The 27,346-nt window shown below is 49.2% G+C and overlaps 1 protein-coding gene and 1 long non-coding RNA gene across 23 annotated transcripts in view, besides 4 other annotated features; one reads left to right on the top strand and one right to left on the bottom strand.

Annotated features, from left to right (window-relative positions):
• GRIK4 (glutamate ionotropic receptor kainate type subunit 4) overlaps positions 1–27,346 on the bottom strand; it is a 477,159-nt gene that overhangs the window by 169,626 nt on the left and 280,187 nt on the right. For 21 of the 22 annotated variants that reach the window (NM_014619.5, NM_001440404.1, NM_001440403.1 and 18 more), the window contains 2 exons: positions 16,424–16,588; positions 3,806–3,903 (listed from right to left, as the gene is read on the bottom strand). In NM_014619.5, the coding sequence (NP_055434.2) occupies positions 3,806–3,903; positions 16,424–16,588 (263 nt within the window). The remainder of the gene's footprint in view (positions 1–3,805; positions 3,904–16,423; positions 16,589–27,346) is intronic. The other variant, NM_001440410.1, reaches the window with a different exon arrangement.
• Positions 166–7,936, top strand: LOC105369532 (uncharacterized). The gene is made up of 3 exons (NR_133008.1): positions 166–320; positions 3,822–3,949; positions 7,803–7,936. It is a non-coding gene; the product is annotated as an uncharacterized LOC105369532 (long non-coding RNA).
• Positions 19,877–20,551: an enhancer, noted in NCBI's record as "OCT4-NANOG hESC enhancer chr11:120669439-120670113 (GRCh37/hg19 assembly coordinates)". NCBI's record gives its function as "activates a minimal SCP1, AML or CMV promoter by ChIP-STARR-seq in naive H9 embryonic stem cells {active_cell/tissue: H9 hESC(naive)}" and the evidence as "EXISTENCE:reporter gene assay evidence [ECO:0000049][PMID:30033119]".
• Positions 21,580–22,079: an enhancer, noted in NCBI's record as "H3K4me1 hESC enhancer chr11:120667911-120668410 (GRCh37/hg19 assembly coordinates)". NCBI's record gives its function as "activates a minimal SCP1, AML or CMV promoter by ChIP-STARR-seq in primed H9 embryonic stem cells {active_cell/tissue: H9 hESC(primed)}" and the evidence as "EXISTENCE:reporter gene assay evidence [ECO:0000049][PMID:30033119]".
• Positions 22,080–22,581: an enhancer, noted in NCBI's record as "H3K4me1 hESC enhancer chr11:120667409-120667910 (GRCh37/hg19 assembly coordinates)". NCBI's record gives its function as "activates a minimal SCP1, AML or CMV promoter by ChIP-STARR-seq in naive H9 embryonic stem cells {active_cell/tissue: H9 hESC(naive)}" and the evidence as "EXISTENCE:reporter gene assay evidence [ECO:0000049][PMID:30033119]".
• Positions 26,532–27,069: an enhancer, noted in NCBI's record as "NANOG hESC enhancer chr11:120662921-120663458 (GRCh37/hg19 assembly coordinates)". NCBI's record gives its function as "activates a minimal SCP1, AML or CMV promoter by ChIP-STARR-seq in primed H9 embryonic stem cells {active_cell/tissue: H9 hESC(primed)}" and the evidence as "EXISTENCE:reporter gene assay evidence [ECO:0000049][PMID:30033119]".

Here is a 27,346-nt window from a genome sequence, read left to right as displayed (position 1 = left end):
GGTGTATAGTAACCAGCTCCCAACAAACTTCAGTGGGGAATGCCCAGGGAGAGGAAGTGGGGCGGGGATGGGCTCCCGCACAGACACACATGCGCACATGGAGGAAGGAAGCCCTGCAGGCGGAGAAACCATCTAGAGAACCTCTGAACACAGCCAGGTAAATAAATACGTGGTTTGGCTTCATTAGGACAGTGTCAGCTTCCCTCTGCATCTATTACTGACATTTCCAGGACCCACTGTCCTGCCTTCTGCCTCTCTTCTCCCAGGAAAAGATCTTAAGAGGCTGTGATGGCTGCTTTATTGGCGGCTTAGGCTATTTGGTAGGTAATAGGAAAGTTACAATGTAATAATCTGCCATCCACCTTGATTTTATTCTTCCACTCTCACCCCTGGTGTCCAGAGCTGAGCGAGCTGAAGCTGAATATCAGTGTGTATAGATGTTAAAGCAAGGAAGATCGATAGTAGACAGCAGGAAGAACTTCCTGGTGGTGAGTAGATTGGCTTCCAGAATGGATTATTCAGAAATGACTGAAGAATTGTCTCTGCCTGCTCTGGCCCACAACTTATCCTGCCAAGAGTCTGCGAAGATGTTGGGATGGTCTCTGTAGGAGTCTCCTACTTTATCCTTTTAAATTTTTGGGAGAAGTCAGCTGGAGACCAGAGCTCCTCTGAGACTGAGGTGGGAAGAGGATAAAGATTTAGCAGAAACTAGGGGAAAAACTTCTGAATTCAACTAGGATTAGCCTTTAAACCATAGGGAGAGGGCAACCAATATTTTCCACCAGAAACTGAAAAATGCAGAATGGGGGAGAGTCTGGTGAGTTATGAAAGGCAATTCTAAAGAGTGACATTGATCTGTGTCATAACGGATCTTTCTTCCCGCTTGTATTTTGTATCCCATCCACTCTGTCTAAAGTGAATAACAAACAGACCTTGAAAGGAAAAGGTCACAAATGGGCAAGATAGAGGGGAAGGCCCGACAGGGGCAGGGTAGCCTGGCTGGCTGGTTTGAACGTTTGAACACCTCTGACCAAGGTCGTCCCTGTGTAACCCTCTAGCCTACCACATTCCATTAGCAGCGAATCCAATAGAGCACAACCCCTTAGCACCCCCTAGTACTGTGGACCCCTTAGAGATACCGTGAATCCACGGATCCTAGAGATGGATGGGAAGGACTCAGGAAGGTGAAGAACAAATGGGTTTTGGAGTCTACAGACTTGGGTTTGCATCCAGGTTCTGCTGTGTGATTTTCAGATAAACCACTTAACTTGTCAAAACATCATTAAAATGGAGATAACCACAGGTGCTTCTTAGAGCTCTGGGAGGATAAAATGTGAACCTGTGTGTAGGGTATATAATAGTTCAATACCTAATGTATAATAAGTGCTTGCGCAAGGCTCTTTCTCCTTCCTCCCCAAATGTAGGAGCTCCCGCAAAGCTCTTGGAGTTGTGCGTACAGGGGGTGAGGGCTGAGGAAGGGGAGCTGATGGGGAGCCTTCGGCACAGTCTCCTTGAAGCCCACTGGGCTCTGCTGGGTCTAGGCAGGGATAGCCCAGCCCAGTCCTGGTCCTATGGTTCCCTCTCTGGGACAAAGATCGATCTATACTCAATGTGCAATTGCAAATGTATCCCAGGAAGCCATCACGGAGGTGTGTGGGGGACAAGAAGAGGTGAGCAGAATGGAGAGGGGAGCAGCAAGGCAGAAGGCAGCCAGCCACAAGGGCTGCAGAGATGTCAGCAGCATTTAAAGCAATGGACTCCTGGGTGAGAACTCCATTGCTTTTCCCTGGAGCAGGGGAGAATCAGCATAAGGCAGTTCAGCCTCATAAAACATTAAAATAAATGCATAATCTGAGCAGAGAGGAAAAGTTGCTCTAGAAGAAACATAACCAGACAAAGGCGGGTAAGCGTCTGGCCACTCCCAGGGCAGTGCAGTCTGGCTGGCTGGTCTGGCACAGGGGCAGAGGAGTTGGCTGCAGATCATGGGCTTGGCTTCTGGCCTGAAATGCCAGACAGGGTGAAGGGATGTGTTGGCTGAGATTAAATAGCCACTGAACCCCAAAAGGAGGCCATATTGGAGTGGGGCTTGGGGGAGGATGTGATGCACAGCAAAGACTGTGTGGTGGGGGAGAAGGGAGAGAGGAGGAAAGAAAAAGAGGATGCAGAAGAGAGAAGATGGGGAGCTGAAGTCTTGGCTGCCCCACTTAGTGAAGATCAGAGCCACTGCTACAATAATGACCTGCCATAGATTTAAGCTGTTTCTCAGAGTGCCGCAAGAAAGATGTAAATTACACGTGAGGTCTAACTTCCTGGGCCACGGCCTGGGAGAGGCTGGGAGGGACCTAGTAGGACAGAGCTCCTCTGTGGCCTGGGCTGGCCTCAGAGTTGTATTTGAGGATATGTGACCGGGAGGAGGATGGGGACTTGTCAGCCCCAGCCCATGTAAGAAGGCTCAAGGGTACAGCCTACAGAGAGAGGCCCAGCTACTGGAGGAGCAGGACCAACGCGACCAGGACTAGGATCGCGGCACTTAAACGTGCACACAATTCTGAGAGTGGGCTCCTAAAATCGGGAAGATAAATATTCTTCTGCCCAAAGCGTCAGGGACTCACTGAGCCCTGGATCATAAGAGACAGTGGTGGCATCAGAGGGGTAGACTCCCAGCAGGCATGGGGTGGGCAGAGGACTGTCTGTTGCTCCTGCCCTGGCAGGAGCGGCTCACTGAGGAGGCATCCAGTCCCTCCTGCAGCAAGTGTTCCTCCTGTTTCTAAGAACTGTGTCCTCCTGAGACTAGAGCTTCTGGAAGGCTGAGCCTCCAGGCCTCTAGGGCAGAAGCGAGACTGAGCCTTCCTCCCATGTCCCTGCCCCCGCCCCCACCCAGCTCCTGACCTCATGCCTGACCACCAAGCTCCATCTGCCCCCTAAGGACCTGGCTGGAAGGCCCTTGGGGCAGACAGGGGCTAAGGGGCCAATTTCTCACTGTCTCCCGAGGATATATCTGAAGGGGAAGGATTGATGGATCCAGGAAGGACCAGGAAAGATGCCAGGACTAGACAGAATCTCTGAATTTCTGAGTTTGTCTTCTCTGGGGAAAAAGGAGGGGGAGAGTTGGCAGAATAGGGAGGGGGGCAGTCACTCTGAAACTTGTGCCCTACCATTTTTTTTCTCCCATGGAAACAGAACTAGAGCAAATGGACTCAACACTTTGAAACTGGAGAGCCTCCAGTTCGAGTCACATCTGAGGAAGAATGTGCTGCTTGAAGAAGCAAACACTGGAACTGGTGAATGAGGAAGAAAGCAAGATAAAATCTCTTTTCTAGAGAACTTATATGACAGAGGCTTTCAAACTTTATTTTAGCAATAAAATGTGGCAATGCCTTCCCCGAAGGCATTCTTCCCCAGAATCCCGATATGTAAACAGATAACCAGGGAGCTGCTCACGTGGACACGAGAGTGGACGCTCAGACGTCTGCCCGCTTGGCCTGCCATGCCCATCAGCCTCTCCAGCCTCTCCCTCTACCCACCACCACCAAGAGGCCGCTGGGGGCACCGCCATGGGACCCTAAGACAGGGAGGAGCTCCGCTTCAGATTCCTGCTGTCAAACACCTCCTCCGAGACCCCTCCATGCAAACATCCTGGAGCAGGGCAAGCCCACTGCTTCTGTATTTGTATTTATGTTGTTGTTATTAATGATACCAACCCAGCCTTGACAGGCTCTTCCAGCCCTTGAGAATCAACCCTATCTTTGGACCCTGGGCACAGGCTCCAGCACACAGATATTCCCCAGCCCTGCCTCACACTCACCTCCTTCTCTCCACAGATGTTGCTGATGATGGAGCTGGAGGCTGGGCTGGACGATGGTCCGAGGACAGCGACCACCCCCTTGGGGAGGATCTGACACACTGCAGCCAGCGGCAGGGACAGGGAAAGAAGCAAAGCACTCATCAGGTCGGGCTTGCGCCATGGCCCAGTCCTCTCCTCTTCACCCGCTGCCCCCTCACCTTCTGCACACCCGCTGCCCAGGCCCCTGCTCCAACCCTTCGAAACCCAGAGTCTCTCCTTCTCCCCTGGACGACTGGGCTCCAGGACAGTTTTATTGGAGTTTATGGGCAGCATTAAATGAGGAAATGACCCAGGTTATGACAACATACGGCCATAGCCAACAGGGTGTATAAATTGTCTGGACTGTCACAGAAGGACAGAGGCTAATGGAACAAACCTGCAGATTCCATCCCACGGCCTGGCCTGGCCTGCAGGGGGGTAGGGGGAGCCCCAGCACAGCTGCTGCATTAGTCCCCCCAAATATAAAGAGAGTCTGGGAGAAGGAAGGCAGGCAGGCAGGCGGGGGTATGAAGGAGGGCGAGGATGACGCAGACAGGAAGAGAGCAGGGGTGGCTAAAGTCAAAAGGAGCGGAGGCAAGAAAAAGGGAAAGAAAATGGGAGGCAGGGAGAAAGCGAGAGGCAGAAAGAAGTTTCATCTGTCAATGCCCCCGTCGTTCACTTCGTCCTGAAGCCTGGCATGTTCCCTCCCCCAGGTAGAGCAGGTCCCGTCCTGACCGACCAGCATGCCTGGCATCTGGCCTTTCCCTCCTGGACTGAACACTCGCTCACCTGTCCGGGATCAGTTCTGACACCACCTTCTCCTTAGACCTTCCTGGGCTTATTTATGTATTTATTTATTGAGATGGAGTCGCACCCTGTCACCCAGGTTGGAGTGCAGTGGTGTGGTGCGATCTCGGCTCACTGCAACCTCCGCCTCCCAGGTTCAAGCAATTCTCCTGCCTCAGGAGTAACTGGGATTACAGGCACCCACCACCACGCCTGGCTAATTTTTGTATTTTTAGTAGCGACGGGGTTTCACCATGTTGGCCAGGCTGGTCTTGAACTCCTGACCTCAAGTGATCCACCTGCCTTGGCCTCCCGAAGTGCTGGGATTACAGGCATGAGCCACCGCACCCCACCACTGGGCTCCTTTAGATGGAATTAACACTGCCTTGGGCTCCCAAGGCCTGGGGTTCATACCTCTAGTCTAAGACACTGTATCTATTTGGGTTTGTTGTTTAGTGCTCTCCTCTCACTAGATTTCAAACCTCTTGAAGACAGGAACTGAGCCACATTTATCTCCCAATCCCCACTTCTCATCTCTTCAGTGTCCAGCACAATGCATTCTAGAGAGTAGGAGCCCAGCTCAGATTTGCTGTGTGAATGTCTAAAGGAATGGGATGTGTAATCAGAGGAGGGGGAGAGAATCTAAGATTTTAAAATGCTAGAGACTGAGAAAGGAAGGATGGGAGAAAGAGGGAAACACAGTGAGAGAGGACAGGAAAGAATTCTCCGTGCACACACTGTGGTATCAGAGCCAAGGGGCCGTCCCTCAGAAAATGCAATCGAGGTTCCCCACTGCATCCTTGTCTGCAAAACTCAAGGCTTAACTCCATATGTATTTTCTTCCTACTTGTATTAGGAGTCAGGCAGAGCAATTTCCCTGGCCTAGCAATTGAGGTTAAGGGACTAGTACAAGGTTTCTTACTGAGCCAGCTGTAAAGCCACACCTGCCACATGGACGCTCTTTCTTCTGGGTTAGAGTCCAATACAGCCAGGTGATCATCTGAACGGGGTACAGGCAGCAAGGCAGAACACCAGGGTTCAAATCCCAGCATTGCAATTTACCATATGAACTATAGATCTTGGAGTCTTCTCTTAGCCTATGGCTTGGGCAGGCATCCCACAACATCCCAAAATCTCAGCTGACTGGAGGACTCATCAGTACTAAGTGTCTGGCCAAAGTAGTGATGATCAGGCTTCATCTTTGAAGAGTCTCTTCAAATTCCAAGCTACTTCCATGGGGGTTATCTCATGTGACCTCAGCCAACTTAACTCTTACAGCCCACTAGGTGCTTGAAGTTCATCATCCCCTCAGATCCCTACAACTGCCTTGGGGGAGTGGGGTCTTATCTCCTGATTTTACTGGTAAGGACACAGCACCCCAGAGACGTGAAGTGCCTCCGCTCTGGTCACACACCTAATCAAGGCCAGAGTTGGCATCTGGATTCAAGTCTCCTGACCCGCATCCAGGGTTCATGTTCCTCTCTCACAGCCACTTACTTTGTCTGCACTGCTCCTTGCAGCCAGCCACTCCTACACCCAGCACTTCTCAGCCTCTTACAGTGGAGGTCCCCCCGCCCACCTCGTCTACTGAATCCACTTTCTCCAAGGTCACCATGACCTGTTATCCATTCTCATCCTGTTCTCTTTCTGCAGCACTTGTTCTGATTGCATTGTTCTTTAGAATTTCCTAACACCGTGCAATCTGGATTCTCCTCCAGTTCTCTGGTCAGTCTTTCACTCATTGCTGACTCCTCTTCCTTCTCCCACCCACCAAATTCAGGTTTTGCCCCTGACTCACTGTTCCTGGGCCATTTTACCATTGCCTACAGCCTCCACCCTTGTCTCTGCCCAGATGACCCTGCACTCTCACCTATGTGCTGGGTCACAAAGTCAAGTTCCAACCACCTGCTGGACGTTGCCACAGGGCCTTCCCTCTGGCATCTCACACTCAGTTCTGTAAGAGCTTGGAGTCTGATGCATGGCTGTCTGGGTTTGAGTCTCTGTCACTTACTAGTTTCGAGACCTTGAGCAAATTATCAAACCTCTGGGCCTGTTTTCTCACCTATAAGATACTAATAACACCTCTCTCATAAGGTTGCTGTGAGAATTAAAGTGAATTAATACTTAACATTCAGAATGGTACCTGACATGCTACATGACCCTTTTATTATTATCCCCACCATATCAGATTTGTTATATATTTTTCACAATCTGGTTGGATCTCCACACTTCTATGAGGAAAATTCATTTTTATCTCCACTTTACAGCTGGGGAAGCTGAGGCCTAGAAAGTTTAAGTAACTTGTTTAAGATCACACAGGTAATATAAGGTCAAACTGGGCTTGAACTTGGGGATCGACATGGCACCAAAGCCAGTGCTCTTACCCACTCTACTTTACTCCTCTTATCTCCTCAAGCTCAAAGCCACAGTCATCCTGGCCTCTTTCTTGCCTTCCCTCACTCAAGCTGTTCTCCTGCTTTACAGGTCAAGGGCCAGGTTCCGACCATCTGACCTTCTCACTCTCTGCCAGCCCTTCCTTCCTACGTCTACTGCCATGGTTCCAGGTCAACCCCTCTTTATAACCTGCCCTTCTAAGGGAGTCTCTCTGTCTCCAGGATTCTTCATTTCCAATCCATTCTTTAAACGGTGGGGCAAATTATAGTCCTAAAACGTAGATCGGAGTGTGCCCCCAAGGCAGAGAACCTGTCTTATTTATGTCTGTGTCCTCCATACTTAGAACAAGGCCTGACTCAGAGTTACGTGGCCTATAAACAGTTGCTGAACCACACTGAGGCCCACTCAACACCTTCCATGCAAAACTGGAAATAAACTAAATGTATAATCATAAGGGAATAAGTATATAAAATGTGGGCTGTATGCCCAAATGGAATATTATTTAGGCATTTAAAATACTTATGAACAGTTTATAATAGTATTAAAAATATTTATTTAATAATACTAAGAGACAGAAGCAGGATATAAAATTATATGTATATCTATATGAAGGCTACAACTAAGCAAATACAGAGAGTACTTATACACTGAGGAATGATTATGAGAAGATGTTATTAAAGACTACATGTACTGAGTGTTAACTATGGCCCGTTCGAAGCACTCTTACGGGAACTGACATATTTAATTCCCAAAACAAACTGAGGAAATAGGTACTATTACTGTCATTCTCATTTTACAGATACAAAATCAACAGAGAGAAATTAAAGAGCAGAGTCAAGATTCAACAGCTCCACCCATTTCCCCAAAGACCGGCCCCTTAACCACTGCACCGCACAGCCATCCCCAGCAAATGGCAATTAACTGGGATGTTTGTAGATTGCCTTGGCCACTGGAACACTGAGTTATTGTCTTCCCTTTTTTCATTTCACTACTTTCTATAATGAGCATGTATTCCTTTTTATAACATATTATAAAGAATACAATGCTATAATAAAAACATTCTTCTGATGAGCAAGTAAAATTCGAGTGACTCTGGTCTCCTTAAGTCCTGTCTTTGCAGCCCCTTCTCCCACCGTGCCATCTCCCGCTGCATGCCAGCTCACCTAGAACATACTCTGTACATATTTTCCTGCCTGATCCTGTTCCCAAATGGCTATCTCTAGATCAGGGGTTCTTAACCTGTAGCCTGGGGTCTGTGGGTAGAAGTCAGGGGTCTGTGAACACTTGTGGGGGGAATTACATCATTCTTTTCTCTAACCCCTAAGTGAAATGTAGCATTTCTTTCCATTTTGAATGTAGGCAACAAACTACAGTGTGTTAATAGCACCTGTGACTTTGTTTCCCACAGAAATCACCGCAGTTTTCATATGACACTACAGTGCTAAGGATATCTTCAAATACCAGTTATATTCATTATTACTTCAAGATTATGGTAGTAATTAGGCTCGATGCTATTTAATACATTAATGAAGAAGCATATATATTAGTATACCACTATTAAAATATAACTGCATTTCCATATAGCTGGTTTCCATAGTCACCCTATCCATTTTATTGGATTTTTGTTATTTATTTTCTATCCTTTTTTATTAATAAAAAGGTTTTTATTCATTTAAAAACATTTATCTGAGAAGGGATTCATTAGCATCTCCAGACTACCATGGTCTAGGCTTCTCTTGCCCTTCTGCCTAGCAAACTCCCACTCATACTTCAGCATCCAGCTCAGATCTTGCTCCTAGGCCAGAAGGCATCTCTCCCTCCCTATATTCACAGCACACTGTGGCTCTGAGTCAGCCGCCTTTAGGAGACAGCGCAGCTTCCTTGCTCTCTGAATTCCTGGCCAGCTTCTGTCCCAAGCAGCCTGGTGATGTTGGTTCCCAAGAAAGGAAAGTTTCTCCTGAAAATAAATTCTTATAGAAGGCCACAATTCCTTATTCCCAATTCCAAAGTCCAAAAGGCTCTGAAACTTGATGTTTTTCATCAAACTCAGTTGTTGGCAAAATCTGATCTCAACAGACAGATGTAAAGCTATTTACAATGTGTGAGTATTTGAATATAAGCATGCATTTGTTTGAGTATGGGGTTACTGGAGATTCAACTTTACATATGGTACATGCACCACACAACCGTTCTTTTGTTTGTTTGTTTGTTTTGAGACAGTGTCTCACTTTGTAACTCAGGCTGGAGTGCAGTGGAGCAATCATAGCTCACTGCAGACTTGAACCCCTGGGCTCAAGCAATCCTCCTGCCTCAGCCTCCTGAGTAGCTGGGACTACAGGTGCATGCCACCATTCTTGGCTAATTTTTTATTTTTTGTAGAGATGGGGCCCCACTACATCGCCCAGGCTGGTCTTGAACTCTTGGCGTCAAGCAATCCTCCCACTTCAGCCTCCCGAAGTGATGGGATTTACAGGCATGAGCCACCACGCCCAGCCCCTCAACCTTCCCAATGTCTCAATCTGGATTCTACACACATCAGGCCTCGAGGGTTTGTGGGCCTGCGCCTGCCATTCTGAGCTTCTCATACACGTGTGTCAATGTGTCCATCTCCCTCACTGGATCATAAATGGCCTTGAGATCAGGGGTCATGTCTATTCAGCCCTGGCAAAAAGAAATTGCTCATTAAATGTTTGCTCAACTGAACTGAAATGATCCCAAATGAGTCCAGTGGAACTGAATTAGGGTCTTAGCAGTGGCTATGGCCTGGGGATTTCCTGGGATCTGGGAACTGGTCTTTCGTTCCCTATGAAGGGTGCCCTGCTCAGTAGAGATGGAAATCATTTATAAAGGGTCTCAGCTCTGGAACCCCTGCATGCTGATTCTGCAGGCCTCGGCCCTCTGAGCAGTTTGCAGGAGGCACAGGAAGGGAGGGAGATGCGTTTACCTCTTCCTCCCAGGCAGCAGAGGAGTTGGAAGGCTCAGCTGCTGGAATAAAAGGCCATGATGGGGTGTAGTGGCCCCATGGAGGGACTTCTTCATCTCAAAATGTCAGCACTGGCAATGGATTGGAGACCCCTTAGAAGCCCAGGCTGGACAGGGGTGGTGGGGTGAGGGGCGTCGTGGAACTTACTCCTTTCCCCTTTCCTGCATCTTCACAGGGTCCCTCCTCCGGACAGAGAGCAGTTCAGGGAGGGGAGGGTGAGGCTGTGTCGCAGATGGTTTAGAGGAGCTAATGGTAAGTGCCACTGACTGTAGCCCCCCTCCAGGAAGGAGCAGCTTCCTGGATGGACCCAGGGGGCCAGGTCCTCCTGCCTGACAGTGAGGAGCTGCTCAGTGCTCTCTGGGCCCAGATGGCAAACAACCCTGGCCCCACGGGGCTCACAGAGATGTGCACTGGGGAGGGCTGGGAGAACTCAGAGTCCTTCACACGGAAGCACTTCCCGATGCTGCAGCCTGAATGGAGCAGAGGGTGCAGTCTCCCTCTGAGCCTGTTTATACTGCACAGAGTACACGTGAAGCCCTGGCCATCCTAGGGCAAGGCAAACAATTGCCTCATCACTTCCAAAGAACCATCTCCTCTCTTGTGCCAAAGCTGTCAGGAACGCATTCCATTCTGAACTCTCTGGGAGTAGACAGGGGACTAAATGGATTGGCCTTGCTGGCTCTTGAGCCAAGGAAGAAAGTGTGTGAGGGCATGAGTGCCACGCCCCATGACGGGCCCCCTGGTGTCCAAGAACTCAAGACCGCCATCGCCTCTCCTCACCAACAGCGTATCACGCAAAGCCTTCACCTGGTCCCAAGCCACCGTGCAAGCAGCAATACCATTTACTGGGGCTTTCCAAGTGCCAGGCACATGTGCCACCTGAATCTCTACAACAACCCTGAGAGGGAGGAGTCACTATATGAATTCTACTACTACTAAGTAACATTTAAGCACCATCTCATTTAATCTTCACAACAACCTCATGAAGTGAGAACTCTTCTTATTCCCATTTTACAGAGGAGGGCTGTGAGACATAGGAGAGAAGCCCAGGGTGCTGGTAGAGCCAGGATTAGAATCCTGGTGCATTGAACTCCAGAACTTGCTCTACACTGAAGCCAGGATCTCTCCTCTGCCCCTATGTACACTCTGTTTCAGCCATACTGTCTGTCACTGCATCCCAATGTATCCCATTTTTTTTCCTGCCTTAAGCCTTTGCTCATGCTATTATGCCATCTACCTAGATGCCTTCTTCTCTCTCTTCATCAATCAACATTCTAAGGTCTGGCCAGGGGCCTCACCTGACCCCATAGCCTGCTCTGCCTACCTCCTAGTTCTGACCTCCTGCTCCCCTGTCTGTGCCACTCATTGGCACGTTCTCTGGAGAGCCACCTAAAGATGGTGTCGTTTTGCAGATGTGTACATCTGAACTTCCTGGAGAAGATCTTGAACCTCAGTTTCCCCATCCGTAAAAGGAAGGGGTTGGACCAGATGATTTCTAAGTACAGCAATTCAATGCATGGCTGAGCCCACATCATGCCTATGATGCGGGTAGCTCCGAGAAGGGGAGTAAGGAATGTTTGCTGAATGACTCATCACTATTTGTATGCCTTTCTCTTCTGGCTTCTTACTTTTTTTTCCTTAAGCCAACTTCAACTGACTCTGTTGAACTGAAGGAGGGATGCTAGCCCTCACTTCTCAGAGGCAGCTCTGAATCACCAGAGGTCATGCTCGTGGAGCCTGTGAGAAGCTTGGAAGCCTGTGCAGGAGGTGCAGCCATGTGGAGCTGGAACGCTACGCGCCGGGCACTGGAGCCACAGGAGGCCCGGATAACCAGGGCGCCTCTAGTTTCAAGGGGAAACTGTGCGGACAGCTGATAGCATGCTTGGCCTCACAGAGACAAACTGAGGCACAGGGGAGGGGTTGACAGGGAAGCCCCTGCTTCTGGGTCTGCAGGAAATTAAACCTCAAGCTGGGACGGAGCCTCAGGTTGTTTGAATGGTAAAGGGTGGTGCTTAGTTAAGCTCTAATTCATTAACCGCAGGAGAAACGCTGATCTATAGGAACAGAGGAGGTAGCTTGTGGTAGCTCCCTGCAGAAGAAAGGCTCAGGTTCAGGTAAGACACGGAAGGGAAAGAAGGAAGGGCCAGGTGGGACAGGAGCTGACCTAATAGGTCTTGTCCATCTCTGTTATTTTAGATCTGTAGGCTGTGTAGAAGGAGTTGGAAAGTCAAACACCAAGATCCTGGGGCGATAATGGTGGAAGGGCAGAGGTGGGGGATGTCAGATGCAGGCTGGAGAAAGCTTTACAAGTGACCCTCACTTTAAATAAACCCATTATATGAAAATCTGTCTATTTGAACCCAAGAGAACAGGGGGTGATTTCTCCTCATATCTTTCCAGTTTCCAGGCTGGCTATTAATTAATGCCCCGTGTGATACTTTCCATCTCAGAGCCTCGCCTTCAACCATCAGACGAGGGGGCTGACCTCTGGCTTCCAGCATCGTTAGCTTCTTTACACTTCATAATCTTTGATTCTTGAAATAACCATTGCTTCCCTCAACTGACTCTCCCACCCTGAATAGGATTCATTAAGTGTGATGTGGACAGAGCTTTCTGAAATCCCTGTTACTCAAAGTAAGGCACAACTGTGCCCTGTTGGAGTGCTACAGCCCCAGCTTCAATCAGAGCCTCTGCTTTCCACAGTCAAAGATATCATCACTAGGGTCTCTTTCATCCCCCTGAAGCAGAGTCCCTGGCCACAGGGTGACAGGTGTAGGGTTAGGGCAGTTGTCCAGGGCCCCAGAGCCACTCACATTTTTTTAAATTAATGATGCAAATTAGCCCTGGGCCACTAGCCCAGGGCAAACCACGGCCTTTGGCATTGGGCAGCAGCTGGCTTGAGGTGGCTCACCACAACTTTAAAAGGCTCAGAGCTATCAGATGCATCAAGCCCAGAAAACTGGAAGGAGAAGGGGAATATCCAATTACGATGGATGCTGACATTAGGCAGGCCACTCGAGAACAGCCCTGGAGACAGTGCTGCCACATAAGTAGGGCTGAACCTTGAAACAAGAGAGAGGGGGGAGGCTGGTAATAAGTTGGGAGGAAGCCCGTTCAAATGTGGGGTGAGAGAATGAAGCCAACAACAAAAGCCACAGCTGCCACTTCCTGAAGTCCTGCTATGTGCAGTGCCGAGCGTTTCACCTACACCGTTCCCAGTGACCCTATGAGGCAATGCTACCATCACTCCCATTTTACAAACGAGGAAACAGAGGCACAAAATGGTTAAACAGCCTGTCTACGTCACACAGCTAATACATGGGAGACCCAGGATTTAATGCTGGTCAGTCTGGTTCTAAAACCCATGCTCTGAATTTTTATACCACACAGCCTCGCCAAAGTAGGGATCACAGAGCTGTGGGCTCTCCTCCACCCAGAGATCCTGTCCCCCTCCTCCCTTCCTTCCCCAAATATAGTCACTGCCCCACCCTGCAATAGCCAACAGGTGGTAGGCGCTTAAGCCACAACCCACCTGCCCCCTTACTTTGGGAGGGAAAGAACTGGGCTGGAATCTTTCAATGAACTTTACCTGGGTAGTGTTTAAAACCCACTGTGGAGGGGCACTCTGGCTTCAGGTGAAAAGCCTTTGGAGTGGGAAGATCCAGAAGTCCCCTTTCCTAACAAATGCTAATCGTACCTCAAACACACTGAGATGTAAAAACTGAACTGAGGCCCACTTGCTAAGAAAATACCTGGTGCCTAAAAGAAGCCCATTAAAAAGATGCCCAAAGTTCTCTAAGATGGAATAAAGATACCTGTTTCCTTTATTCCCCTGATTCATCTGGCTCAATATTTTAGAAATATTGACTTTACTAAGTCAGGCTGCATGGGTCACTAAAAGAGGAAATTTACATCTGCTAACGATGCCATCCATGACGGGCAAATCTTGGCTCCCTCATTTCTGCCAGAGAAGCCCTGAAGAACCGAGAAGAGAAGGGCTGGCTTTTCAAAGTATGGACTACTGAACTATTTAGAAATCTGGACCCTTGTCTGAGACTTGCCTCCCTGGACAAGGAAACACTGTGGACTGGACTGGGGGTTCACAAGGAGTTGTTGCTGGCATTTCTGATTTCATTTGCAAGATACTGGGAAATCTGAATCTTCCTTCCATTATACTAGAAATTAACCTCTATGACAACTAGGATTCTTGTCTGTGCCCTGCTGAATCCCCATGGCCTAGAATAAAATATAATAGGCACTCACTAAACACTTACTGACCGAATGAATAAATGAGGGACTATTTTGGCCCTTGTTCCTCCATGCCTTCTTGGGGAGGAATCTGTGCCTACAGATCCTGTTGGCCTCAATGGCCCTGTTCTATATGGTATGGCCCTCCCTCAGTCATAGGAGCAGGAGGGACTGGGAGTAGACCCTCTCTCCAAGAGTAGTTATTAGGCAGCCTGGCCAACACCTGCAGCTTGTGAGACTGGCCACACTGCAAGTTGAGCTGATCCAATCAGAGCCAGACCTTGGGGATGCACATTAAGAGGCACTGGGGGAAGCTGCCCCTGATGTGCAGCCTAAAGACAGACTGAAAGCCACCTGAGGTCAGGAGCACATCTATCTTATTTCCTGCTTTGTTCCCAATGCCCGATATCCTGAATTATGCCTGAGATAGAGTCAATGCTCAATAAAAGTTTCTGAATGAATAAACAGAGAGTAAATCAGGTCTGGGTAGTCATTATGGACAAGTACATGATGAATAAACCAGGGAACCCAAACTAAGAGAGAGGGAAGAGCCTGGATCCAACACCACAGGAGCAAGAAGGAAGCTGTGAGAGGGAGAAAGGCTGGGGAGTCTCCAGAGCCACTGCCTGCATCGCTTCTTAACTTTTCTGGATGTCACGACACCCCACATGTGATGCTTGGGCCTGTGTGGATGTACTGATTTTCTTGAAACCCTAACAGCCCAGGCTGGAGCTTTGCTGGATCCTCAGATGGAAGAACAGATGTATTTGAGCAAGTTGTTCTTTTGTTTTGTTTACTTATTTTTGCCACTGAGTGTGGTCAAAGGTTGAAACGGGTTAGAAAGGGAGGAGACGGGGACTCTTCAAAGTCTTAGGGAATAGATACTATTATCTCTGATTTGAGGGGCTCTTCTCCTGCCCTCTGAACTGGAGCTGATCCATTTCCAGCTTAGCCACAAGTCACCAGCCCACTAACTTGGGCCTAGTCTTGTAAAGTTGTCAAGGTAATACAAACAACAGGCCGGAGGACTGTAGGGAGGTCTCATGGACTGCACTGGGCACACAGGGTCCAGAACCAGCTCAGCCATTGACTAGCTCTGTGGTCTGGCAAATGATTCAATGGCTTTGAGCCTCAGTTTCTTTTCTAAAGTGGAGGTGATAACACTTAACACTTAGGTGAGAATTAAAAGCAGTACCCAGCGCATAGTAGGGGCTCCATATGTGTGACTTGAGCGACCTACTACATATGCCTGTAAAACACTGCAATTCACAGATTTTCCTGTATTTAAAATAATTTAAATCTCACAATAGGCTGGGCGCAGTGGCTCATGCCTGTAATCCCAGCACTTTGGGAGGCTGAGGTAGGCAGATCACTTGGGGTCAGGAGTTCAAGACCAACCTGGCCAACATGGCGAAACCCCATCTCTCCTAAAAATACAAAAATTAGCCGGGCATGGTGGCACACCCCTGTAATCTCAGCTACTGGGGAGGCTGAGGCATGAGAATCACTTGAACGCGGGAGGCAGAGGTTGCAGTGAGCTGAGATTGTGCAACTGCACTCCAGCCTGGGCAACAGAGCAAGACCCTGTCTCAAAAAAAACAAAAACAAAAAAACACCTCACAACAACCTAACAACCTGCAAGATTTGCAAAATAGAGCCTAGTATTCCTATTTTAAAGATGTAGAAACTGAGGTTTGGATAGGATAGGATGACTTAGTGACTTATCTGAGGTTACCCAGAGAGTGAGTGGTCAAATTCCATCCCAAGTCCCAGTTTCTCCCACAACAGCGCCCTTAGCATAAGGAAGCAAGGTAAGCAGTCAGATGTGTAGTGGCTAAGATACCCTTGGGCTGGCCGTCTCTCTTATCACACACGAGATTTCATTCAGGAACTTGTGGACAAAATGTCCAGAACATGAATGAATCAATATATGAAGCAATGAATGAGTGGATGAATGAATGAATGGGTATCCTGTCTTAATTCTACTCCACACGTGATTCGCACAAAACCTGGGAATCTCATCCAGGCTGAGAGCTTCACAGGACCTCCTGGTTCAAGTTCCTCTCCTTCCTCTGGAAATATCGACATCAGATATCTCAGAGGCCTGGTGACTGATAGGTGCAGCTCACACCACTGCTCATCCATCCTCTGCCAGCAAGGGAAGAGGCAGCCCTGCCCAGTCTACGTACTGGTTTCTGCAGTCTCGTACTCGCTGTCTCTGAGAAGCTCAAAGATGTCCACTTCGACCTTGGCCTTGCCCAGCCTCTCAGGAGCGCGGTTGATGCGGTTCTTGGCCAGGGTGATGGAGAGCCGCTCCCCTCTGCTGCACTCCATGGGGTCGTCCAAGATAGCAGCTGTGGGCAGGCAACCACATGGAGACAATTGGTACTCCACCGCTACTGTTACCCTCCTCCTTCTCCAGCCTCCCCCTGCTGCCACCTTCCTCTTCCAGGCAGCACCCCAAGTTCCTCTCCATCCTGCCATGCTCAGAACCGTCCCCCAGAACAAGTTCTCTCCAAGCTTAAGGGTCTTGGTTTGCAGCCAGGTGTAGAAGTGAATTCTAATGTGGATGCACGCCTCGGGAATCCTGTAATACCAGAGCAGGCCACTAGGGGTCCTGTCTGCACGAAGTCCCCGGGTCCAGGCATCCTGATACTTGGATACCTGTCTCCATGCACACAGGCAAGCAGGCATTGTGCAAAGTGAGGCGGGTAGTGGCTGTCCTTTGAAATAGTATTCTGAACATATGAGAAACTCTCCCTGAGGTGAGAGAGGGTTAAAGGATGCCAGGTCTGTGAGGGAAGGCTGTGGCCTCAAGGAGCAGCTGCCAGACACTGCTGAATGCTGGCTCCCCAGGCTCTGACACCGATGGGCCATGCCACCAAAGTGAGCTACTTAGTTTCTCTGAACCTCTTTTCCTCACTGAACATTAGAAAGAGTAGGACAACCTCACAGGGTTGGTGTGAGGATTCACTAAGATAATGTGTGGAAGTGGCACAGCACACAGATTTAATCAGTGTGACTTATTCAGTGTGGACAACTGCAGTGGTGTAATACCAACAGTTGCCCAACTTCTGGGAGCAGTGTTAAGGATAAATGTTATGGTATCACAGACAACTGGCTTCCAGTCCCAGCTGCAGCCCTCCACAGCTCTGGGACCTCAGTTGCCTCGCTTTTAAGGAAGTGGAGAGAGCCTTGGGCTATTGTGAAGATTACAAGATATGGCATGGGATCAACACAGGATCTTGCACACAGGAGGCACTCAATAAATCTAGCTATAGAGATTCTTAATTCTCTTGATGGAGATGTTACAAAAATGAAGATCACACAAAAACTTGTACACAAATATATATAGCAGCATTATTCATAATTTCCAAAAAGAAACCCAAATGTCCATAGATTGATTGATAGATAAAAAAATGTGGTTTACCCATACAATGGAATATTACTCAACAATAAAAAATAACAGGTACTGATACATGCTACAATAGGAATGAACCTAAAAACATTATGCTAAGTGTGGCTGGACGCATGGCTCATGCCTGTAATCCCAACACTTTGGAAGGCTGAGGCGGGCAGATCACTTGAGGTCAGGAGTTCGAGACCAGCCTGGCCAATATGGTGAAACCCTGTCTCTAATAAAAACACAAAAATTAGCCAGGTGTGGTGGCATGACGTCTGTAATCCCAGCTACTCGGGAGGCTGAGGTAGGAGAATCACTTGAACCCGGGAAGTGGAGGTTGCAGTGAGCTGAGACAGTGTCATTGCACTCCAGCCTGGGTGACAGAGCGAGACTCCATCTGAAAAAACAAACACACCATTAGGCTAAGTAAAATAAAGCCAGACATACACAAAAAAATACATATTGGACAGTTCCATGCATATGAAATGTCCAGAATAGCTGAATCCACAGAGGCAGAAAGATTTGTGGTTGCCTAGGGTTGGGAGAAATGAGGAGTGTCTGCTAATGCGTGTGGTGTTCTTTTTGGGGGTGATGAAATGTTCCTAAAATTGTGATAATAGTTGTGCTACTCTGTGAATATACAAAAAGAAACCACTGAATTATATACTTAAAGTGAATTACGTGGTATGCAAGTTATATCTCAAGAAAGCCATTACATTAAAAGAAATATTTATCTTTCAGAGGTTGAGAATTCAGAAAAGCAACACAGGGAATCAAGCCGAATACATTTCACTGACACGTGGCCCTTGAATGTCTGCGCGGACGCAGAGATCCAGGTTCTATGCTGTCTTTTCTGTGCATTGCTCCACACTCACTGTAATCCATCCCACAAACCCAAAATCAGGACACAGAATATTGCAAAGCATTTCTTCCTTGATTTGTGGATTTATTTACATGCATAACTTCATTGAATAATAAAAGTTAAATGTCATTTACTCAGGTTGGCCATGCATGGGGCGACAGAGGTACATCCCAAGTCCGAGGCAATCAAGTGGACTTCTGGGAATTAACTAGCAAAGTCCACGCATACCTGGGGTGATTAGCCACCCGCAGAAGTGACCAGAGCACCATAAATGTGACTGAAGAGCCTGGGAACATTTCAATCACCCCCACACCCCCACCTGCGGGAAGCACGACCAGAATGAGATGGCTACTGAGAAAGCAGAAACCGAGACAGTCATGCTGTGGCATAAGAGAATGACGACCTTGCAACTAGAAAGGAAGCAGGGCAGCCTAGAGGAATGCTTCTCAAATGGTCCTCCCTGGCAGGCCCCTGGGCTCCTCCAAGAAGTGGAGGGGAGGCTGCCTGGGGTCTCCAGCCCCATACCAGCTCCCACCATCACAATTCCACCTGCATCCATTTCAGGGGTTGGGGTTCCACCTAAGAGTTGATGTGGGAAAAAATGTTTTGCTATTAAAAATATAATAGGGGCCAGGCACGGTGACTCACACCTGTAATCCCAGCACTTTGGGAGGCTGAGGCAGATGAATCACCCGAGGTCGTGAGTTTGAGACCAACCTGACCAATATGGAGAAACCTCGTCTCTACTAAAAATACAAAAAAAAAAAAAAGCCAGGCATGGTGGCAGGCATTTGTAATCCCAGCTACTCGGGGTGCTGAGGCAGGAGAATTGCTTGAACCCGGGAGGTGGAGGTTGCAGTGAGCCGAGGTCATGCCATTGCACTCCAGCCTGGGCAACAAGAGCAAAACTCTGTCACAAAATAAATATATAAAATAGGAAAAAATTAGCCAAGCTGTACAACAAGGAAAAGAGACATCTAAAGTATCAGGAACTGGCAGTGCCATCCAGCATGAGTTGGACAGACACTGGATCCATGACACACAAGCTTTACATTAAGCTACAATGTCAGCATAACCACTTAGTGGACTCTATCTCACTTAATCTCTGCAACAAGTCCATGAGGTGGATATTTTATCTTCACTTGGACACGAGGAATTGGAGGTCAGAGAGGTCATGATCTGCCCGTTCTCACAGGTTTGAAGCATGACAGAGGAGGGAAGTGAGCCCAGGTCAGCCTGACTCCAGACCTTGCACCCTGACCAAGCTTGTCTTCCTTCTTATAAAAACTCAAGGATTTGCTGCGAAGCAGGGGGTGCGCTAGGGAGCGTGCATGAGGCTTCCAGGGACTGTAAAGGAAGCCTCCATCTACAGACTGTAAATGAACCCTAAAACACCAATAGCAACAGGCTTGCCCCTGGACCTCTGAAAACTCTCTCAGGTAACTCCCCCTCCTCCCTTCTCCCTGTCCTCCCTCCACCCCATTGAGATGGTGTTCAGACCATGGAGGCAGCTATCCTTCCCTTTGGGCCAAATGAGCTCACTGTTACCAATGTTTCCATCTATAACCTACTAACTATTTAACAATCACTTGTAGTAAGATAAATAAAGTAGTAAAATAATCTCTCAGAAAATGAGCATGTCCCCTGTGGGCCTGGGGACTGGGAATGTTTTGATGTAGTTGTTCATGTTTCAGAGTCACGCTGGGCCTGCCTCTGCCTCATCAGTGTTCAAAGGCCACAATTACGCCTGCACCACAGGAGGCAGCACACACCAAAGGGTCTGCTCCGGAGCCAGCAGTCCCACCTATCCCCATTTTGTTTTGGCAAAGTAAACATTCAAGAGTGTGCTGTGGACTTCAGCAGGTCCCACCAAATTCATATACTGAAGTTCTAACCCCCAATATTACTGCCTTAAAAAATAGGGTCTGTAGGACAAAACTAAGGTTAAATAAGGTCATTAGGATGGGACCTTGATCTGATAGGATCAGTGTCCTTATAAGAAGAGACACCAGTGCCTCACGCCTGTAATCCCAGAACTTTGGGAGGCCGAGGCGGGCGGATCACTTGATGTCAGGAGTTCAACACCAGCCTGGCCAACATGGTGAAATCCTGTCTCTACTAAAAATACAAAAAAATTACCCAGGAATGGTGGTGTGTGCGTGTAATCCCAGCTACTGGGGAGGATGAGGCACGAGAACCGCTTGAACCCAGGAGGCGGAGGTTGCAGTGAGCCAACAGGATCATGCCACCGCATTCCAGCCTGGTCGACAGAGTGAGATTGTCTCAAAAACAAAACAAAACACAACAAAAACAAAAACAAAACCTGGCATAGTGGCTCACACCTGTAATCCAGCACTTTGGGAGTCTGAGGCAGGTGGATTACCTGCGTGAGGTCAGGAGTTTGAGACCATCCTGGCTAAGGTGGTGAAACCCCATCTCTACTAAAAATACAAAAAATAGCCAGGTGTGGTGTCGGGCACCTGTAATCCCAGCTACTCGGGAGACTAAGGCAGGAAAACCAGAAGGCAGAGGTTGCAGTGAGCCGAGATTGTGCCACTGCACTCCAGCCTAGGCGACAACAGGGCAAGACTCCATCTCCAAAAAAAAAAAAAAAAAAAAAAAAAGAGACAGCAGAGCTCACTCTCTTTTTCTCTCCGCCACGTGAGGATAGAACAAGATGGCTATCTGCAAACCAGGGAAAGGGTCCTTAACAGGAAGCGAATTGCCTGACACCATGATCTTGGACTCCTAGCCTCCAGAACACTGTGAAACATTTCTGCTGGGTAAGCCACCCAGTCTGTGGTATTTTGCTATGGCAGCCTGGACACCAGTCTGCCATGTAACAGCATACAGTCAGCTCACAGAGCATCACTGCACACACCTTGAGACAGAGGGAAAATGAGTACGTGGGAAATAGGGAACGTGCGAATCTTGTATTAAGGGGAGGATGAGGTCCTCTCTTCACCCCATTCCTCTTTCCCTGCCCACAGCATCTAATGCAGAACTTTGTGCTCAAAGTTATTAGGCAGGTCATTGCCAACTCACTAACATCTAAAATCCTGTCCTCTCTACCTCCCAACCCCCGTGCGATTCAGGGACCACTTTTAATTAGGTTTTCGACAGTGATTCCTATCTGGCTGGAAACGGCCTCAACCAGTGGTTGGCTGGCATAAAACATATGAGGATCAGAATAACTAGGACGACAACAGGTACCCAGACTCTAGAGCTGTGGACATCAAAGACAAGGTGGAGGCTCAGGCACTCTTGGGACACCAGAGAAGCATGTGCTCAACAGGCAGTTACCAAACAGCATGCTTCTTCAGTAGTCCCAGGAGTGGAGACCAGATGAATGAAGGAGAGCAGCTTGCTCAAGACTTAATGTGCAGTGAACGCTCATAGCCTGCACTGCGTCCCCCAGGCCTGGCTGCCTGGCTGGGCTGGGACGCTCCGAGTCCCCAGCTGCTGCCTAATGAGGAATAATATGATACGGCACATCCTCCAGCCCTGGGGACTGCCCTGCAGAGAAGCCCCGAGCCACAGTGAGGCTGGGAGGTCTGGGGCCACAGCAAAGGCAGGGCTGAGATGGGGAGATGCGTTCAGAGACCCGGGGCTTCCCGCTCTTTCCATCCATGGGGCCTCAGTGCACACTGACTCTTCCAACCCAGGTGGATTCAAGATGCCTCCGGCATGCCCAGGAAGCCGGGATCCCTTGCATTTCCATTGAGCCTTTCTCCCCATGAGCCCCAAGAACTTCACCCTGTGCCCAGTTCTGAGTTCTATGGCTCATGCCAAGAAAAGGGGAGCCCCTTGATTGTGCCCTTCTCCGCCCCCCAAACTCCTCTCCATATTCTTGTCCCATGCTTGTGTCAATGCTAGAGGGGACTCCTCCCCCCTGCAGCGCCTTCCAGCTCACCCCAATCAGTGTGGCCGTGGCGACCCCGAGAGGGCATACAGCCACTGACCCGCTCAAGGTCCTCAGAACCTCCCCACTCTCTGAAGAGCTGTCCCTGTTGAGTCTCTGGCATGGCCTCAGGCCCCTTCTGTCCTGTCTGGCTTCCACGGTCATAGCATCCCCTCCACCCCCAACAAGGTGACAGAGCCTCCATGTACAGTCCTGGACTGGCCCATTAACTCTCCTCCATGCCTTTGCCAATGCTGTCCCTGTCCCTTGTTCTCCCTTTCCCTACCAGGGCTCTTCTCTCCCTCAGGCGCCTCTTCCAGGAAGCCCTCTCTGACCCCCTAGCCACAGTGCTCTCTTTCTCCTTGGATTTCCCGAGAAACTCCCACCACTCAAACAGACTATTCCTTGCACACTGCCTTGGAGGGGTATTTATCCTTCTATCTGTACCTGTGAGTTCCCTCAACTGCTTGTATAATCCACCCTCCATATCTGTGGGTTCTGCATCTGCAGATTCAAGCAACCGTGGATTGAAAATATTCAGGAAAAGGCCAGGCACGATGGCTCACGCCTGTAATCCCAGCACTTTGGGAGGCTGAGGCGGGCGGATCACGAGGTCAGGAGAGCGAGACCATCTTGGCTAACATGGTGAAACCCCGTCTCTACTAAAAATACAAAAAATATGCCAGGCGTTGTGGCGGGCACATGTAGTCCCAGCTACTCGGGAGGCTGAAGCAGGAGAATGGCGTGAACCTGGGAGGCAGAGCCTGCAGTGAGCTGAGATTGCGCCACTGCACTCCGGCCTTGGCAACAGAGCGAGACCCCGTCTTGGAAAAAAAAAAAAAAAATTCAGGAAAAAAAAACCAAAAAATAACAATACAATAATAAAAATAACACCAACAAAAATACAGTATAGCAACTATTTGCATAACACTTATACTGTATTAGGTAAAGAAGTAATCTAGAGATGATTTAAAGCATATGGGAGGATGTGCATAAGTTATATGCAAATACTACGCATTTTACACAAGGGACTCGAGTGTCCCCGATTTTAGTATCCGAGGGAGGTCCTGGAACCAATCCCCAGTGGATACTGAGAGATGGCTGTACTTAAAAAAACCCAGAGTAATCCCTCTTTCCTTTGAATCTTCCCAAACTCCCCATCCCAAATTAATTTTCCCTTCCTTTGAACTCCCACAGAAATTCCTCTGTACCCTTCATTAGACACAAGCCACTTTTTCATTATGCTGATTTGTCTATCTTTTCAGCTCCTTTGGGGTGAGGACCACACCTGATTCATCTCTGTAGCTGCACAATTCTGGACACACAGTAGGCCCTTAATGAATGGTTGTTGAGTGAATCAATAATTCAAGGCCGCTTGTCTTTTCATCCCCTACAGCCAGTAGTAGACGTGGCGCCTGGCAATGGTGCAGTCAGCATTAGGCGATGAGTGGACGGACAGCAGCCCCACGACACAGGGATCCGCAGGGTGGATGACCCGCCAGAGGCCTCCAGGGTCCCCCGGGGCTGGCTGCTCTCCTCCTGCTCCCTGGGTAAACTGGACTGGGGCTGGCTCTCCCTCCACACATTCTCAGCAGCCCAGAAGTGACCCCTCAGGTTGGAAAAGCAGCCTCCTTAATCCCTCAGTTCTTCCAGAGCCTCGCTGCTGAAGATTTCCATGCACTTCGGTAACTCTTACCCTTTTAAGGGGTAAAATAAAGAGGTTTTACTGGAGAGTCTTTATAGGCAGTATCTATAACACTGTCTGTGGCCGTTTGGCTCAGCCGGATAGAGCCCTGTGTTAACAAGAAAAAGTGACAGTTTGCACCTTGGGGAGTGCGTTAGCTCTGCTCCCCAGCTGACCCTGGCTGCTCACTCTCGGAGGCCCAGCTACAGCCCATCCCCATCACTCATCTGGCACCTCTGTCCTCTGTGTCCCACTCTTCAGCCCCTTGTCCTTGGTCACCCCTCTTGCTGGAGGAAATCACACCACTGTGCAGGCCGCTCCCGCCGCCAACTCATGCCTTCGTCCCCACCTGGGGCACCAGGCTGGGCCGCTACCAGCCTTGGAGCTTGCTCAGCCAGCTCCTCCCACACCACAGACCCTTAGCATCAGCTGGGGCTGCCATTACAAAGCACCACAGACTGAAAGGCTTAAACAACCAAAATTCCTTTTCTCACAATTCTGGAGGCTGGAAGTCTAAGATCAAGGTGTGGGCAGGACTGGTTTCCTCCAAGACCTCTCTCCTTGGTGTGCGGATGGCACCTTCTCCCTGCACCCGTACGTGGTCTTTCTTCCCTCTGTGCATGCCTGTGTGCTGAGCTCCTCTTCATGTAGACAGAAGTCCAACTGGATTCGGGACAAACCTAACAACCTCGTTTTAACTTTCTTACCTCAACACCAAATAGAGTCACATTCTGATGTCTTAGGGGGTGGGGCTTCAATATAGAAATTCTGGAGAGGAGACAACGTAGCCCCTAAAACCGCCGTTTACCTCTAACCATCACCTGACTCTAAATTCCTAACACCACCCTTACCCTCAAAACCATCACCCGACTCTCAGCCCCTAACACCACCCTTCCCCTCCAACCATCGCCTGGCTCTCAGCCCTAACACCTCCCCTCACCGCTAACCATCGCCTGGCTCTCAACCCTAACAACTTCCCTCACCTGTAACCATCACCCGGCTCTCAGCCCTAACAACTTCCCTCACCTGTAACCATCACCCGGCTCTCAGCCCTAACAACTTCCCTCACCTGTAACCATCACCCGGCTCTCAGCCCTAACACCCGCCCCTCACCTCTAACCACTGCCTTGCTCTCAGCCCTAACACTGCCCCTCACCTCTAACCATTGCCTGGCTCTCAGCCCTAACAACTCCTCTCACCTCTAACCATCACCCGGCTCTCAGCCCTAACACCACCCTTCCCCTCAAACCATCTACCTGCTCTCAGCCCCTAAACACCGCCTGGCTCTCTGCCCCTAATACCGCTCTTCTCCTCCAACCATCACCTGGCTCTCAGCCCTAACACTGCCCTTCCCCTCTAACCACCACCCAGCTCTCAGCCCCAACACCTCCCCTCACCTCTAAACATTGCCCAGCTCTCAGCCCCTAACACTACCCTTCCCCTCAAACCATCTACCTGCTCTCAGCCCCTAACACCACCCTTCACCTGTAACCACTGCCTTCACCTCAAACCGTCACCCTACTCTCAGCCCCTAACATCACCTTTCACCTGTAACCATTGCTGGGCTCCGACCCCTAACACCACCCTTCACCTCCAACCATCACCCTGCTCTCAGCCCCTGGCTCTCAGCTCACACACTGGTTAAACTGAGGCCACTCTCAGTGAGCTGGTTGACTTTGTGCCCCATACCTTCCCAACAAGCTCAGGTAACGAGGGCTCCAGACAACCCACAGCCTTCCTTCCTTTCCCCTGGGACTCTGCCTCACCAGGCCTCCTTCTTCTTCAGCCTCTCCCGAGGCCTGCTGGCTCCCCTGTGCTAACAGTCAAGGCCCGCCCCTCCTATGCAGACCCTCCCCTGACCACCCTGACCAGCTGTGCCCTCTGGCTCTCCCTTCTCTGTCACTTTCAATGCAAGCCAGGCTTCTCAAATGACTACTCAACATTTGCTGACTTCACCCCATGCCATGTTCTCCTCGACCCACTGCACTCTGCCTTCCGTCCCCACCACTCCACCCAAACTGCACCTGCCAAGTCAACATCAATATTCATTTTTGCAAAACTGGTGAACTTTTGATTCTTTGTCTAACTATATCACTAGCTGGCAATACGACTTACAACCTGCCAGGTGCTGTCCTAAGAAGAGCATATATGTTATCTCATTTAATCAACCTCCTTGGCTTCCATGAAACTACTCTCCTAGGGTTCTCCTCACACTGCTCTAACTGTTCCCTCCAGGTATGTTCTTCTGCCTCCCCTTTAAACAACGGTGCATCCAAGGTCTTTGCAGAGGCCTCTTCTTGTCATCCTCCCAGGAGCTTCCTGATTGATCTATTTCATAGCCGCCTCCATGGGTGTGCTTTACTTATATCCAACAGCCTGGTGACATCTCCATGAACGTATCTGCAGAGCATCTCAAATTTAGGAAGACCCAAAGTAAACCCACCTCTTCCCTCCTAGATTCTTCCTGTTAACATTCCTACGTTTAGTTAATAGCAGCACCAGCTACCCAGGCATCGTGCCTTCACCCAATTCCGCACCTTCCAATAACCAGTCTCCAATTGCTTTTGGTTGTACTTCCTCAAAATTTCTCAAACCAGTCCACTTCTTTCCAGTCTTAACACCACCACCCTACTTCGGTCCTTTCATCTCAACGACTTAACTGCAACCTCTTAACTCTTATCTGGTTTTCCTGCCTCCAGGCTGGCACAACCACCACCACCTGGCGCTCCTCAACCACACCCTCTCCTAGCTGCCAGAGTGTGCGCTTTGAAGTGTAAAGCCCTGCTTTAAAAGCTTCCATCCTCAAAATAAATGGAATTCCTCAGCACGGCACACAAGATCTGACTTGACTCTGTCAAACCTTATATTGTGCTTCCCTGCTCATCCCTCTCTACCTTCTAGAAGCAGTGAACTACTCATAGCACCCCTTACACACACACACACGCACACACACACACACACGGTGCTGCTGCATGCCTGCACACCTTTGCTCACTCTCCTCCTTCTGCACTCTCATCTTTGCTCACTGACTATCTCGGCTCAGACATCCCCTCCTTCAGGAAGCCTTCCCTGAACGCAGAGGCTGAGCAAGTGCACCACAATGTGTTTTCACAGAAACCCATGCATCCTATAATGTACGCCCATCATTCATCTAGTCTTCAACTTTCGAGGTTTAATTCTTCCCATCCCCAATGCAATGACCTCGCCTGACAGCAGGAGAACTTCAAGAATCTTTGAGCCAAACTTGTCTTGGCTTTTGAGG

This window comes from Homo sapiens, chromosome 11, assembly GCF_000001405.40.
Source record: "Homo sapiens chromosome 11, GRCh38.p14 Primary Assembly".
Taxonomy (NCBI): Eukaryota; Metazoa; Chordata; class Mammalia; order Primates; family Hominidae; genus Homo; species Homo sapiens.
This window is presented reverse-complemented; position numbering and strand designations above follow the sequence as displayed.